This window comes from Homo sapiens, chromosome 13 (genome assembly GCF_000001405.40).
Source record: "Homo sapiens chromosome 13, GRCh38.p14 Primary Assembly".
Taxonomy (NCBI): Eukaryota; Metazoa; Chordata; class Mammalia; order Primates; family Hominidae; genus Homo; species Homo sapiens.
In genome coordinates, this window is record NC_000013.11 from 52265276 (window position 1) to 52281127 (window position 15852).

General features: G+C 41.1%; 1 pseudogene across 1 annotated transcript in view; it reads right to left on the reverse strand.

Moving 5' to 3' along the window:
- The window catches only part of TPTE2P2 (TPTE2 pseudogene 2), a 104605-nt pseudogene that overhangs the window by 46545 nt on the left and 42208 nt on the right, over nucleotides 1-15852 (reverse strand). The window contains exons 11-13 of the transcript XR_007063808.1: nucleotides 15587-15686; nucleotides 15377-15440; nucleotides 14566-14630 (exon numbers count right to left, since the gene is read on the reverse strand). The product of XR_007063808.1 is annotated as a TPTE2 pseudogene 2 (transcript). The remainder of the gene's footprint in view (nucleotides 1-14565; nucleotides 14631-15376; nucleotides 15441-15586; nucleotides 15687-15852) is intronic.

The window sequence follows — 15852 nt, forward strand, 5'->3', positions numbered from 1 at the left end:
TTCATTGCAGCACTATTTACAATAGCAAAGACTTGGAACCAACCCAAATGCCCATCAATGATAGACTGGATAAAGAAAATGTAGCACATACATACACCATGGAATACTGTGCAGCCATAAAAAGGAATGAGTTCATGCCCTTTGCAGGGACATGGATGAAGCTGAAACCATCATCCTCAGCAAACTAACACAGGAACAGAAAACCAAATACCGCATGTTCTCACTCATAAGTGGGAGCTGAATAATGAGAATGGACACAGGGAGGGGAAAGAGGCCTGTCGGGGGTTGGGGGAAAGGGGAAAGAGAGCATTAGGACAAATACCTAATGCATGCAGAACTTAAAACCTAGATGATGGGCTGACAGCTGCTGCAAACCACCATGGCACACGTATACCTATGTAACAAACCTACACGTTCAGCACATGTCTCCCAGAACTTAAAATTTAAAAACAAAACTAAAGTCAATATACAAAAATTAATTATGTTCCTATATACCAATAGCAAATAATCAGAAAATGAAGATATTCAAATATTACTTAAAACAGCATAAAAACTTATCGAATGCCTAGAAATAAAACTAACAAAAGATGTGTAGGGTGGGCGTGGTGGCTCACGCCTGTAATCCCAGCACTTTGGGAGGCTGAGGTGGGCGGATCATGAGGTCAGGAGATCGAGACCATCCTGGCTAACACATGAAACCCCGTCTCTACTAAAAATACAAAAAAATTAGCTGGGCGTGGTGGCAGGTGCCTGTAGTCCCAGCTACTCTGGAGGTTGAGGCAAGAGAATGGCACAAACTCAGGAGGCAGAGCTTGCAGTGAGCGGAGATTGCGCCACTGCACTAAAGCCTGGGCGACAGAACAAGACTCCATCTCAAAAAAAAAAAAAAAGATGTGTAAAACCTGTACACTGCAAACATTGCAAAAAGAAGTCAAAGAAGACATAAGTAGAGAGATATATTATGTTCTTGAGTTGGAAATCTCAATATTTTTACATGTCAGTTCTCCCTAAATTAAGCAATGTAGTGAATGCCCAAGTCAAAATACTAGCAGGTTGTGTGTGTGTGTGTGTGTGTGTGTGTGTGTGTGTGTGTAAATTGCCAAGAAGATTCTAAAATGTATATGGAAATTCAAAAAATCTAGAAGAGCCAAGATAGTTTTTAAACAAAGAAGTACAAAGTTGGGGGACTTATAAACAAGTTTTCAAAACTCACTATAAAGCCATAATATTTAAAACTGTGGTCTGGACTTAAGTATAGACAAGTCATTAAGTCATAATAAAAGGAGAAAAAGCTGAGAAACAAACCTATACATATATGTTCACTTGATTTGCAATAAACACACCTCTACAATTCATTGGGGAAGTTATGCTCTTCACAGTAAGTGGTACAGGAAGCATTGATAGCTATATGAAAAACATTAATCTTGATATTTTATATCTTTACAACAATTAATCGGAGATCAGTCATACACCAATACATTGACAGAGGTGTTGGTTACATGCATATATACTTATGTGTAATATCATCAAGATATACACTTGATTAGTGCAACTTACCATCTATGTTATACCTCAATAAAATGTGATTATTTATTTTAGGTTCAGGGGTACATGTGCAGGATATGCAGGTTTGTTACATAGGTAAACCTGTGCCATGGTGGTTTGCTACACAGACATCTCATCCCTATGTATTAAGCCCAGCATCCATTAGCTATTCTTCCTGAGGCTCTCCCTCTCCCAACCCCTCCTTCCTGACAGGCCCCAGTGTGCACTGTTCCCCACCATGTGTCCATGTGTTCTCATTATTCAGCTCCCATTTATGAGTGAGAACATGCAGTGTTTGGTTTTCAGCTCCTGTGTTAGTTTGCTGAGGATAACAGCTTCCAGTTCCATCCATGTCTCTGCAAAGGATGTTATCTTCTTCATTTTTATGGCTGCACAGTATTCCATGGTGTTTATGTACCACGTTTTCTTTATCTGATCTATCATTGATGGGCATTTAAGTTGATTGCATGTCTTTGCTATTGTGAATACTGCTGCAGTGAACATGCACGTGCATGTATCTTTGTAAGACAGTGATTTATATTCCTTTGGGTCTATACTTGGTAATGGGATTGCTGGGTCAAATGCTATTTCTGCCTCTACGTCTTTGAGGAATTGCCACACCCTCTTCTACATGGTTGAACTAATTTACACACCCACTAACCGTGTAAAAAGCATTCCTTTTTCTCTGCAACCTTGCCAGCATGTTATTTTTGGACTTTTTAATAATAGCCATTCTGACTGGCGTGAGGTGGTATCTCATTGTGGTTTTGTTTGCATTTCTTTAGTGGTCGGTGATGTTGAGCTTTTTTTTTTCGTATTTTTGTTGACTGCATGTATGTCTTCTTTTGAGAAGTGTCTGTTCATGTCCTTTGCCCACTTTTTAACAGGGTTGTGTGTTTTTTTCTTGTAAATTTCATTAAGTTCCTCGTAGAATCTGAATATCAGACCTTTGTCGGGCGGATAGATTGTACAAATTTTCTCCCATTCTGTAGCTCTTTAGTTTAATTACATCCCATTTGTCAATTTTTGCATTTGTTGCAATTGCTTTTAGCATTTCGATCATGAAATCTTTGCCCATGCCTATTTTCTGAATGGTATGGCCTAGATTTTCTTCTAGAGTTTTTATACTTTGGGGATTTACATTTAAGTTTTTAATCCATCTAGAGTTAATTTTTGGATATGGTGTAAGGAAGAAGTCCAGTTTCAATTTTCTATATATGGCTAGCCAGCACTCCAGCACCATTTATTAAATAGGGAGTCCTTTTCCCATTGCTTGTTTTTGTCAAGTTTGTTAAAGATCAAATGGTTGTTGGTGTGAGGTCTTATTTCTGAGTTTTCTATTCTGTTCCATTGGTCTATACATCTGTTCTTGTACTAGTGCCATGCTGTTTTGGTTACTGTAGCCCTGTAGTATAGTATAGTTTGAAGTCGGGTAGCGGGATGCCTCCTGCTTTGTTCTTTTTGCTTGGGATTGTCTTGGGTATTTGGGCTCTTTTATTGTTCTATATGAATTTTAAGATAGTTTTTTTTTAATTCTGTGAAGAATTTCAATAGCAGTTTAATGGGAATAGCATTGCATCCATAAATTGCTTTGGGCAATATGGCCATTTTCATGATATTGATTCTTCCCATCCATGAGCACGGGATGTTTTTCCATTTTTTGTGTGTGTCTTCTCTGATTTCTTTGAGCAGTTGTTGTTTTCTCTGTGTTTGTTTTTCCTTTAACAGGCCACTCTACTGTAGTGCTTCTGCAATTTGCTGGTGGTCCATTCAAGACCCCAGTCGCCTGACTTTCTCCCGTCTACCTGGAGGTATTACCAATGAAGGCTGTGAAATAGCAAAGATGGCAGCCAGCTCCTTCCTTTGGAAGCTCCATCCCAGGGGGATACTGACCTGTAGCAAGTCTACATACACCTGTAGGAAGTGGCTGGAGACCCCCATGGGGGAGTTCTTACCCAGTCAGGAGACATGGGATCAGGGACCCATCCAAAGAAGCAGTCTCGCTGCTTTTTGGTAGACCAGGTGTGCTGCGTTGCAGGGAACACTTCCTCCTCCTGACCACCTGTATTTTCCATAGCTGGCAGGCAGGAGTGGCTGAGTCTACAAACTACAGTGATGCTGGCTGCCCCTCTCCACCTCCCGGGGAACTCAGACCCATCTGAGGTGGAATCCAACCTGTTGCTCTTGGTTGGCTAGGATTCCAAGCCAATGGGTCTTAACTTGTGAGGTACCGTGGAAATGGAGCCCACAGAATGACACTGCTTGGCTCCCTGGATTCAGCCCCTTTCCAAAATATGTATGGACAGATTTCCCACCTTGCTGAGGTTCTCGGGGCCAGAGTACGTAAAACGTCTGGGTTTCTGTGTGTGCCTGAGCAGCTGATCTGCTGAGACTCCACAGCTCTGTGTATCAGACACAAGGCCCTGGTGGCATGGGCTTACAAGGGGATCCCCTGATCCATGGGTTGCAAAGATCAATAGGAGAAGCACTGTTTCCTGAGCACGATTGGACAATCACTCACTGCTTCCCTTGGCTGGGAGTGGGGGTTCCTTTGGCTCCACGCTGCTCTCGGCTGGGCCATCACACCCTCTCTCCACTTTTCTTCATTCTCCATGGGGCGAGCTGTTCTTCCAGTCAGTCCCAATGGGAGAACCTGGGTATCTCAGTTGAAGGTGCTGAATTCACCTGCCCCTTTTCATTCCTCTCCTTGAGTGCTGGGGAGTGCAGCTGCTTTTAATCGGCCATTTTGCATCACTCTAAACATTTCTTTTTTAGCCATAGTTCTTAATTCCCATAGCCCTTGGTTTATCGTTAGTTTTTTTTTTTTTTTTTTTTTATACTTTAAGTTTTAGGGTACATGTGCACATTGTGCAGGTTAGTTACATATGTATACATGTGCCATGCTGGTGCGCTGCACCCACCAACGTGTCATCTATCATTAGGTATATCTCCCACTGCTATCCCTCCCCCCTCCCCCGACCCCACCACAGTCCCCAGAGTGTGATATTCCCCTTCCTGTGTCCTTGTGATCTCATTGTTCAATTCCCACCTATGAGTGAGAATATGCGGTGTTTGGTTTTTTGTTCTTGCGATAGTTTACTGAGAATGATGGTTTCCAATTTCATCCATGTCCCTACAAAGGACATGAACTCATCATTTTTTATGGCTGCATAGTATTCCATGGTGTATATGTGCCACATTTTCTTAATCCAGTCTATCATTGTTGGACATTTGGGTTGGTTCCAAGTCTTTGCTATTGTGAATAATGCCACAATAAACATACGTGTGCATGTGTCTTTATAGCAGCATGATTTATAGTCATTTGGGTATATACCCAGTAATGGGATGGCTGGGTCAAATGGTATTTCTAGTTGTAGATCCCTGAGGAATCGCCACACTGACTTCCACAATGGTTGAACTAGTTTACAGTCCCACCAACAGTGTAAAAGTGTTCCTATTTCTCCACATCCTCTCCAGCACCTGTTGTTTCCTGACTTTTTAATGATTGCCATTCTAACTGGTGTGAGATGATATCTCATAGTGGTTTTGATTTGCATTTCTCTGATGGCCAGTGATGATGAGCATTTTTTCATGTGTTTTTTGGCTGCATAAATGTCTTCTTTTGAGAAATGTCTGTTCATGTCCTTCGCCCACTTTTTGATGGGGTTGTTTGTTTTTTTCTTGTAAATTTGTTTGAGTTCATTGTAGATTCTGGATATTAGCCCTTTGTCAGATGAGTAGGTTGCGAATATTTTCTCCCATGTTGTAGGTTGCCTGTTCACTCTGATGGTAGTTTCTTTTGCTGTGCAGAAGCTCTTTAGTTTAATTAGATCCCATTTGTCAATTTTGGCTTTTGTTGCCATTGCTTTTGGTGTTTTGGACATGAAGTCCTTGCCCATGCCTATGTCCTGAATGGTAATGCCTAGGTTTTCTTCTAGGGTTTTAATGGTTTTAGGTCTAACGTTTAAATCTTTAATCCACCTTGAATTGATTTTTGTATAAGGTGTAAGGAAGGGATACAGTTTCAGCTTTCTACATATGGCTAGCCAGTTTTCCCAGCACCATTTATTAAATAGGGAATCCTTTCCCCATTGCTTGTTTTTCTCAAGTTTGTCAAAGATCAGATAGTTGTAGATATGCGGCATTATTTCTGAGGGCTCTGTTCTGTTCCATTGATCTATATCTCTGTTTTGGTACCAGTACCATGCTGTTTTGGTTACTGTAGCCTTGTAGTATAGTTTGAAGTCAGGTAGTGTGATGCCTCCAGCTTTGTTCTTTTGGCTTAGGATTGACTTGGCGATGCGTGCTCTTTTTTGGTTCCATATGAACTTTAAAGTAGTTTTTTCCAATTCTGTGAAGAAAGTCATTGGTAGCTTGATGGGGATGGCATTGAATCTGTAAATTACCTTGGGCAGTATGGCCATTTTCACGATATTGATTCTTCCTACCCATGAGCATGGAATGTTCTTCCATTTGTTTGTGTCCTCTTTTATTTCCTTGAGCAGTGGTTTGTAGTTCTCCTTGAAGAGGTCCTTCACATCCCTTGTAAGTTGGATTCCTAGGTATTTTATTCTCTTTGAAGCAAATGTGAATGGGAGTTCACTCATGATTTGGCTCTCTGTCTGTTGTTGGTGTATAAGAATGCTTGTGATTTTTGTACATTGATTTTGTATCCTGAGACTTTGCTGAAGTTGCTTATCAGCTTAAGGAGATTTTGGGCTGAGACGGTGGGGTTTTCTAGATAAACAATCATGTCGTCTGCAAACAGGGACAATTTGACTTCCTCTTTTCCTAATTGAATACCCTTTATTTCCTTCTCCTGCCTGATTGCCCTGGCCAGAACTTCCAACACTATGTTGAATAGGAGTGGTGAGAGAGGGCATCCCTGTCTTGTGCCAGTTTTCAAAGGGAATGCTTCCAGTTTTTGCCCATTCAGTATGATATTGGCTGTGGGTTTGTCATAGATAGCTCTTATTATTTTGAAATACGTCCCATCAATACCTAATTTATTGAGAGTTTTTAGCATGAAGGGTTGTTGAATTTTGTCAAAGGCTTTTTCTGCATCTATTGAGATAATCATGTGGTTTTTGTCTTTGGCTCTGTTTATATGCTGGATTACATTTATTGATTTGCGTATATTGAACCAGCCTTGCATCCCAGGGATGAAGCCCACTTGATCATGGTGGATAAGCTTTTTGATGTGCTGCTGGATTCGGTTTGCCAGTATTTTATTGAGGATTTTTGCATCAATGTTCATCAAGGATATTGGTCTAAAATTCTCTTTTTTGGTTGTGTCTCTGCCCGGCTTTGGTATCAGAATGATGCTGGCCTCATAAAATGAGTTAGGGAGGATTCCCTCTTTTTCTATTGATTGGAATAGTTTCAGAAGGAATGGTACCAGTTCCTCCTTGTACCTCTGGCAGAATTCGGCTGTGAATCCATCTGGTCCTGGACTCTTTTTGGTTGGTAAACTATTGATTATTGCCACAATTTCAGAGCCTGTTATTGGTCTATTCAGAGATTCAACTTCTTCCTGGTTTAGTCTTGGGAGAGTGTATGTGTCGAGGAATGTATCCATGTCTTCTAGATTTTCTAATTTATTTGCGTAGAGGTGTTTGTAGTATTCTCTGATGGTAGTTTGTATTTCTGTGGGATCGGTGGTGATATCCCCTTTATCATTTTTTATTGTGTCTATTTGATTCTTCTCTCTTTTTTTCTTTATTAGTCTTGCTAGCGGTCTATCAATTTTGTTGATCTTTTCAAAAAACCAGCTCCTGGATTCATTGATTTTTTGAAGGGTTTTTTGTGTCTCTATTTCCTTCAGTTCTGCTCTGATTTTAGTTATTTCTTGCCTTCTGCTAGCTTTTGAATGTGTTTGCTCTTGCTTTTCTAGTTCTTTTAATTGTGATGTTAGGGTGTCAATTTTGGATCTTTCCTGCTTTCTCTTGTAGGCATTTAGTGCTATAAATTTCCCTCTACACACTGCTTTGAATGCGTCCCAGAGATTCTGGTATGTGGTGTCTTTGTTCTCGTTGGTTTCAAAGAACATCTTTATTTCTGCCTTCATTTCGTTATGTACCCAGTAGTCATTCAGGAGCAGGTTGTTCAGTTTCCATGTAGTTGAGCGGCTTTGAGTGAGATTCTTAATCCTGAGTTCTAGTTTGATTGCACTGTGGTCTGAGAGATAGTTTGTTATAATTTCTGTTCTTTTACATTTGCTGAGGAGAGCTTTACTTCCAAGTATGTGGTCAATTTTGGAATAGGTGTGGTGTGGTGCTGAAAAAAATGTATATTCTGTTGATTTGGGGTGGAGAGTTCTGTAGATGTCTATTAGGTCCGCTTGGTGCAGAGCTGGGTTCAATTCCTGGGTATTCTTGTTGACTTTCTGTCTCGTTGATCTGTCTAATGTTGACAGTGGGGTGTTAAAGTCTCCCATTATTAATGTGTGGGAGTCTAAGTCTCTTTGTAGGTCACTCAGGACTTGCTTTATGAATCTGGGTGCTCCTGTATTGGGTGCATAAATATTTAGGATAGTTAGCTCTTCTTGTTGAATTGATCCCTTTACCATTATGTAATGGCCTTATTTGTCTCTTTTGATCTTTGTTGGTTTAAAGTCTGTTTTATCAGAGACTAGGATTGCAACCCCTGCCTTTTTTTGTTTTCCATTGGCTTGGTAGATCTTTCTCCATCCTTTTATTTTGAGCTTATGTGTGTCTCTGCACGTGAGATGGGTTTCCTGAATACAGCACACTGATGTGTCTTGACTCTTTATCCAACTTGCCAGTCTGTGTCTTTTAATTGCAGAATTTAGTCCATTTATATTTAAAGTTAATATTGTTATGTGTGAATTTGATCCTGTCATTATGATGTTAGCTGGTGATTTTGCTCATTAGTTGATGCAGTTTCTTCCTAGTCTCGATGGTCTTTACATTTTGGCATGATTTTGCAGCGGCTGGTACCGGTTGTTCCTTTCCATGTTTAGCGCTTCCTTCAGGAGCTCTTTTAGGGCAGGCCTGGTGTTGACAAAATCTCTCAGCATTTGCTTGTCTATAAAGTATTTTATTTCTCCTTCACTTATGAAGCTTAGTTTGGCTGGATATGAAATTCTGGGTTGAAAATTCTTTTCTTTAAGAATGTTGAATATTGGCCCCCACTCTCTTCTGGCTTGTAGGGTTTCTGCCGAGAGATCCGCTGTTAGTCTGATGGGCTTTCCTTTGAGGGTAACCCGACCTTTCTCTCTGGCTGCCCTTAACATTTTTTCCTTCATTTCAACTTTGGTGAATCTGACAATTATGTGTCTTGGAGTTGCTCTTCTCGAGGAGTATCTTTGTGGCGTTCTCTGTATTTCCTGAATCTGAACGTTGGCCTGCCTTGCTAGATTGGGGAAGTTCTCCTGGATAATATCCTGCAGAGTGTTTTCCAACTTGGTTCCATTCTCCACATCACTTTCAGGTACACCAATCAGACGTAGATTTGGTCTTTTCACATAGTCCCATATTTCTTGGAGGCTTTGCTCATTTCTTTTTATTCTTTTTTCTCTAAACTTCCCTTCTCACTTCATTTCATTCATTTCATCTTCCATTGCTGATACCCTTTCTTCCAGTTGATCGCATCGGCTCCTGAGGCTTCTGCATTCTTCACGTAGTTCTCGAGCCTTGGTTTTTAGCTCCATCAGCTCCTTTAAGCACTTCTCTGTATTGGTTATTCTAGTTATACATTCTTCTAAATTTTTTTCAAAGTTTTCAACTTCTTTGCCTTTGGTTTGAATGTCCTCCCGTAGCTCAGAGTAATTTGATCGTCTGAAGCCTTCTTCTCTCAGCTCGTCAAAATCATTCTCCATCCAGCTTTGTTCCATTGCTGGTGATGAACTGCATTCCTTTGGAGGAGGAGAGGCGCTCTGCGTTTTAGAGTTTCCAGTTTTTCTGTTCTGTTTTTTCCCCATCTTTGTGGTTTTATCTACTTTTGGTCTTTGATGATGGTGATGTACAGATGGGTTTTCGGTGTAGATGTCCTTTCTGGTTGTTAGTTTTCCTTCTAACAGACAGGACCCTTAGCTGCAGGTCTGTTGGAATACCCTGCCGTGTGAGGTGTCAGTGTGCCCCTGCTGGGGGGTGCCTCCCAGTTAGGCTGCTCGGGGGTCAGGGACCCAATTGAGGAGGCAGTCTGCCCGTTCTCAAATCTCCAGCTGCGTGCTGGGAGAACCACTGCTCTCTTCAAAGCTGTCAGACAGGGACACTTAAGTCTGCAGAGGTTACTGCTGTCTTTTTGTTTGTCTGTGCCCTGCCCCCAGAGGTGGAGCCTACAGAGGCAGGCAGGCCTCCTTGAGCTGTGGTGGGCTCCACCCAGTTCGAGCTTCCCTGTTGCTTTGTTTACCTAAGCAAGCCTGGGCAATGGCGGGCGCCCCTCCCCCAGCCTCGTTGCCGCCTTGCAGTTTGATCTCAGACTGCTGTGCTAGCAATCAGCGAGATTCCGTGGGCGTAGGACCCTCTGAGCCCGGTGTGGGATATAGTCTCCTGGTGCGCCGTTGTTTAAGCCGGTCTGAAAAGCGCAATATTCGGGTGGGAGTGACCCGATTTTCCAGGTGCGTCCGTCACCCCTTTCTTTGACTCGGAAAGGGAACTCCCTGACCCTTGCGCTTCCCAGGTGAGGCAATGCCTCGCCCTGCTTCGGCTCGCGCACGGTGCGCGCACACACTGGCCTGCGCCCACTGTCTGGCACTCCCTAGTGAGATGAACCCGGTACCTCAGATGGAAATGCAGAAATCACCCGTCTTCTGCGTCGCTCACGCTGGGAGCTGTAGACCGGAGCTGTTCCTATTCGGCCATCTTGGCTCCTCCTCATCATTAGTTTCTTAATTAAATAACCTGTCCACATTCTCCAGCCATGGGATGATGATTCAGGCTGGGGATCCAGGCCATTTTCTGAAAAGCTGCTGAACTTGAGGCCCTGTCCTGTTTGAACCTGAGCTAACACGCTGCAGAGAGGTACTCCTTCCACCTCTCAGCAACCGATGCCAGCCCTTAATAATTATAGTTTTATTGAGGTATAGTAAGTATTGTAAATTACATAAAATTAAACAATGACTTTCAGTTGGCATTTCACAGTAAACAGCATTATATGTTTGAAATTAGTTTAGTCATCCATGGAGCCTAAAGCAGTATGCTGCCACTATAATTGAGGATCTCGGCCAGGCACGGTGACTCAAGCCTGTAATCCTAGCACTTTGGGAGGCCAAGGCGGGTGGTCCACAAGGTCAGGAGATCGAGACCATCCTGGCTAACATGGTGAAACCCCATCTCTATTAAAAAAAAAAAAAAAATTAGTCAGGCGTGGTGGCGGGCGCCTGTAGTCCCAGCTACTCGGGAGGCTGAGGCAGGAGAATGGCGTGAACCCAGGAAGCAGAGCTTGCAGTGAGCCGAGATTGCGCCACTGCACTCCAGCCTGGGCAACAGAGTGAGATTCCGTCTCAAAAAAAAAAAAAAAAAAAAACAGCAGCCATGATTATTTACAATTCCTTCCAACAGGAGTTGGAGTCTATGTTCTACTCTGAATCTGGATTCAGATTCAGAATCGTAGTATAATTTGCATTGTCCAATAAAATCGGGTAGAAGTAATATTATACTAATTTTGAGCCTGGGCCTTAAAAGGATTTACATTGTTTTGCTTGCTGCTCGTGGTACTCCTGCCACTGCCATCATGTGAACAGGCCTGAAGTAGCCTACTAGAGAATGAGAGACCACATGGGACCATTCAGCCAAGTCATGTTATTTTCTTTACTTTGATTTAAAAAAAACTGTTTTTTTATTCTTTAAAACAATTTGAACTGACACATAATAGTTGTTCATATTTATAAGGTAGAGGGTGATATCTCAATACCTGTGTACAATGTGCAATGATCAAATCAGGATAATCAGCATGTCCATCACCTCAAATATTTATCATTCTTTGTGGTGGGAACACTCAAGAGCCTTTCTTTTTAAAAATATACAATAAATTGTTAACTGTAGTCACCCTCCAGTGCTATAGAATACTAAAACTTATTCCTCTCTGTAAGCTGAAATCTGACATTTCTTTGTTGATTTTCTGACTAGATGATCTGTCCAGTGCTACGAGTAGGGTGTTACGGGGTGTTAAAGACCCCAACTGTTACTAGATTGGAGTCTGTCTTTCCCTTTAGATCTAATATTTGCCTTGTTTATCTGAGTGCTCTAGTGTTGGGTACATATATGTCTGCAATTATTATATCCTATTGCTAAGTTGATCCTTTCATAATTATAAAATATCTGTCTTTGTCTCCTCATGCAGTTTGACTTAAAGTCTGTTTTATCTGATATAAGTATGGCTACTCCTGCCCTCTCTTGGTTTCTGTTTGCCTGGAGTATCTTTTTCTATCCCTTCACTTTCAGTCTGCGTGTACCTTTACAAGTGAAGTTAGTTTCTTATAGGCAGTATGTAGTTGGGTTTTTTGTTTGTTTGTTTATCTTGGCAACCAACTCTATATCTTTTAATTGGGAATTTGATCTGTTTACATTCAAGGTTACTATTAATAGATGAGGATTTATCCTGTCATTTTATTCTTTTTTTTTTTTTTTTTGGTTGTTTTGTATATCCTTTGTGCTTTTCTTCCTCTGTTTTTTTTTTTTTTTTCTAATCTTTGTGGTTTGGTGGATCTCTGTAGAGATAAAGTTTGATTTCTCTCTCTTTCTTATGTATCTGCTCTACCAGTGAGTTTTATAGTTTGGTGTTTTTCATGATGGTAGCCATCCTCTTGCTTTCATTTGTAGAATCCCCCTTAAGCATTCCTTGTAAGGCCAGTCTACTGGTGATGAACTCCCTCAGGTTTTGCTTGTCTGGGAAATACTTTATTTCTCCCTCATTTCTAGAGGATAGCTCTGCTGGGTATAGTATTCTTAGTTTATAGTTTTTTTGTATTTTTTTCCTTTCAGTACTTTGACTGTAACATCCCATTGTCTACTGACCTGTAAAGTTTCCACTGGAAAATCCACTGTTAACCTAAAGGAGTTTCCCTTACATGTGATTTGATGCTTTTTTCTTGCTGTTTTTAATATTTCTTTTTTTTTTTTTTTCAGACACTCCCACTCTGTTACCCAGGTTGAAGTGCAATGGTGTGATCTCAGCTCACTGCAACCTCCACCTCCTGGGTTTAAGCATATCTCATGATTCAGCCTCCCAAGTAGCTAGAACTACAGGTGCACGCCACCACACCTAGCTAAGTTTTTTTTGTATTATTAGTAGAGATGGGGTTTCTTCATGTTGGCCAGGCTGGTCTTGAACTCCTGGCCTTGTGATCCACCCACCTCAGCCTCCCAAAGTCCTGGGATTACAGGTGTGAGCCACTGCACCTGACCAATATTCCCTCTTTTTGACATTTGAAAGTGTGACTATCATGCACCTCAGAGAAGACCATCTTGAGTTGATTCTATTTGAGAACCTTTGAGCTTCTGAGATTTCACCCATATGTCTCCCATGTCTGTTTTTAAAGCTCTTGATTATATATATATATATATATATATATATATATATATATATATATATATAGTTTTTTTTTGAGACAGGGTCCCTCCCTGTCAACCAGGTTGGAGTGCAGTGGCATGATCTCAGCTCACTGCAACCTCCACCTCCTGGGTTCAAGCTATTCTCGTGCCTCAGCCTCCCAAGTAGCTGGGATTGCAGGCATGCACCACCACACCTGACTAAATTTTGTGTTTTTTTAGATATGGGATTTTGCCATGTTAATCACTCTTGTCTTGAACTCCTGGCCTCAAGTGATCCACCTGCCTTGGCCTCCCAAAGTGCTGGGATAACAGGAGTGACCTACTGCATCTGGTCTCTTGATTATTTTTTATTTTATTCCTTAAATTCTTCAGCTCCAAGATCTCTGTTTGGTTTTTAATGACATCTATATCTTTGTTGAATTTCTCATAAGATGATAAATTGTTTTTCTAATTTCATTGATTTGTCTATCTGTATTCTCTTGTATCTCACAGAGTTTCCTCAAGATCCTTATTTCAAATTCCTTCTTAGCCATTTGATATACTCTTAAAATTTAGGGTCTGTTAATGGGGGATTATTGTGTTTCTTTGAGGATGTAATGTTTCCTTGCTTTTTATGTTTCTTGTGGCCCTGAATTGATTTTTGCACATCTGGTGGAACAGGTGCCTCTTCCAATGTTATGGAGCTTTCACAGAGAAATATTTTTTCCAATAGTTGTCTCCTAGTGTTCATTATGGAGTAGGGCGATTTGACTTTGGTTCTAGGTGGGTGCGGTAATACAGTCTTCATGTGACTTCTTTGGCTGTAATCAGCATTTAGAGGTGTCTCTGAGTGCCTCAGTGGCCTAGATGGTGAGTGTTTGTGGAGACAGTGGTATGGCTTTTCTTGGGGTGGGAGCCATCAGTCGGATTCGTTCCAAGGCCCTAGAGGTATGCATGCTAGGTGCAGTGGCTTTGCTAGTGGTGGGGTGGCGCCACCAGCAGGGTGGGCACCCGGCAGGCCAGTCCTCAGGGTCTTAGAAGTGCATGCAGCATATGGCAGCTCTGCTGGTCAAGGGGGTGGAGCTGTTGGCAGCAGTGGATGCCAGATGGGATGGGCCTTGAGGGGTGCATGGAGCACGCAGTGGCTCTGTCAGCTGAGGACAGCCAAGTCATTTTAGACTAGCCAGTCCTCAGATGACTCAGTAGCTGCCCACAGATGCATGAATGAACCCAGTTGAGAGAGGCAATCCTCTCTGTGAGCACAGAATTGAACAGTTAAGCCCATCTCAAATTCACAAACCATAGTATCATGAGCCAAATAAATAGTTGCTGTTATAAGCCAGTAAGTTTGGGGGTGGTTTGTAACCACTGGTACAATTGTAACTGGTATCAATCCATTATGATTGTTTTACTTGAAAGAGTACCTTTTGGAAAGAACATTGACATTTCTGGGTCAATATTAAACTTATGACTACACAGTCTACATTCACTGAGAAATTAGTATTTTTAAGATAAACACCCTTACCTTAATTGGATTCCGATAGAAAGACTGGCCTCCCGAAGATGGAAACGACATAGCGACAATATGTTCTGGAAGTCAAAATCATCACTATTACAAACATTATTATAGATTTAAAATAACATACAAAAGTTAATTTTATATGATCAGACTCCATTTTCACAGAAAAATACCTTTTAAGATTGAGGTTGACAGAAAAGAGCTAATACTCAGGGTAATCAAGATAACATATTAAATTATCCAACATAATGACCATTAAGCTGGCATGGTGTTCTTAACACTCCACTGGTTCAAACCATATGCCATGTACTTATGTTGGCCTCAGTCTGAAGTTCCCCCTGTTCTTGGAATTTATTTCTTATCTTAAATACCAAAGAAAATCCAAGAGTTCTGGGCACCAGTGATGGTGGGAACTCCCAACGTGCTTTGTAGCCCTCTGACTCAGAACACCTGAGATCTACAAAGCTGTGACCTCATTCTCTGGGGTTCTAGGAAGAGAAGCGGTCTCTCTGGGATCCTTGGGATTCAGGATAACTACTAGAACTTAATAAACTGAAACTCAAATGGAGTCAGCTGAAAATCCATTCAAGTTTTTGTGCTGCAACCGAGTAGTCCTGAATTGAGATGACATGGAAATCTTCCTTGCCAGGGCTAAACCACAAATATGTCACACTATCACAATGGCATAGCATATAGCCTCACGAATAAAGAATACTTTGAATGAATGTGGCTTAGATGAGGCAAAAACAAAATAAAAATATAATTACAAGAAAAAGTGAAGTTAATGTAAGTAAATCAACAGTTAAGTGTCACAAACCTGTAATATAAGTGAGGTCTAGGTCAAATCCATCACTTTCGTATCACCTTTTGTTTCCTGAAACCTGAGAGTTTAAAACCATTATTAGTTGGTGAAACATAAATCAACATAAAAATAAAGAACATTATACAGTATAGATATCAACCCTTGCCAATGGGTCCCAAAACACAAAATATTTTTCTGAATCGTAAGCATGTTTTGCCCACTTACCAGCCTTCTTATCAGCTTTCCAAGTTGTCTTTTTAGATGAGCCAGATGAAAAACTCTTATCAGAATGATAAGTCGTAGAAGTCGAAATAAACGTGTCCATCTAAAAATAAATTTAAAAGATCAATTTTTGCTTCAGAAACAGACAATTTTATGAATATAAATTAAGTTTAGAGCAGCAGTTGTTAACCAGGGACAATTTTCCCTCCTCTCCTCAATCACCTACATGGGGGATATTTGGCAGTGTCTTGAGGCATTTTTGGTTTTCA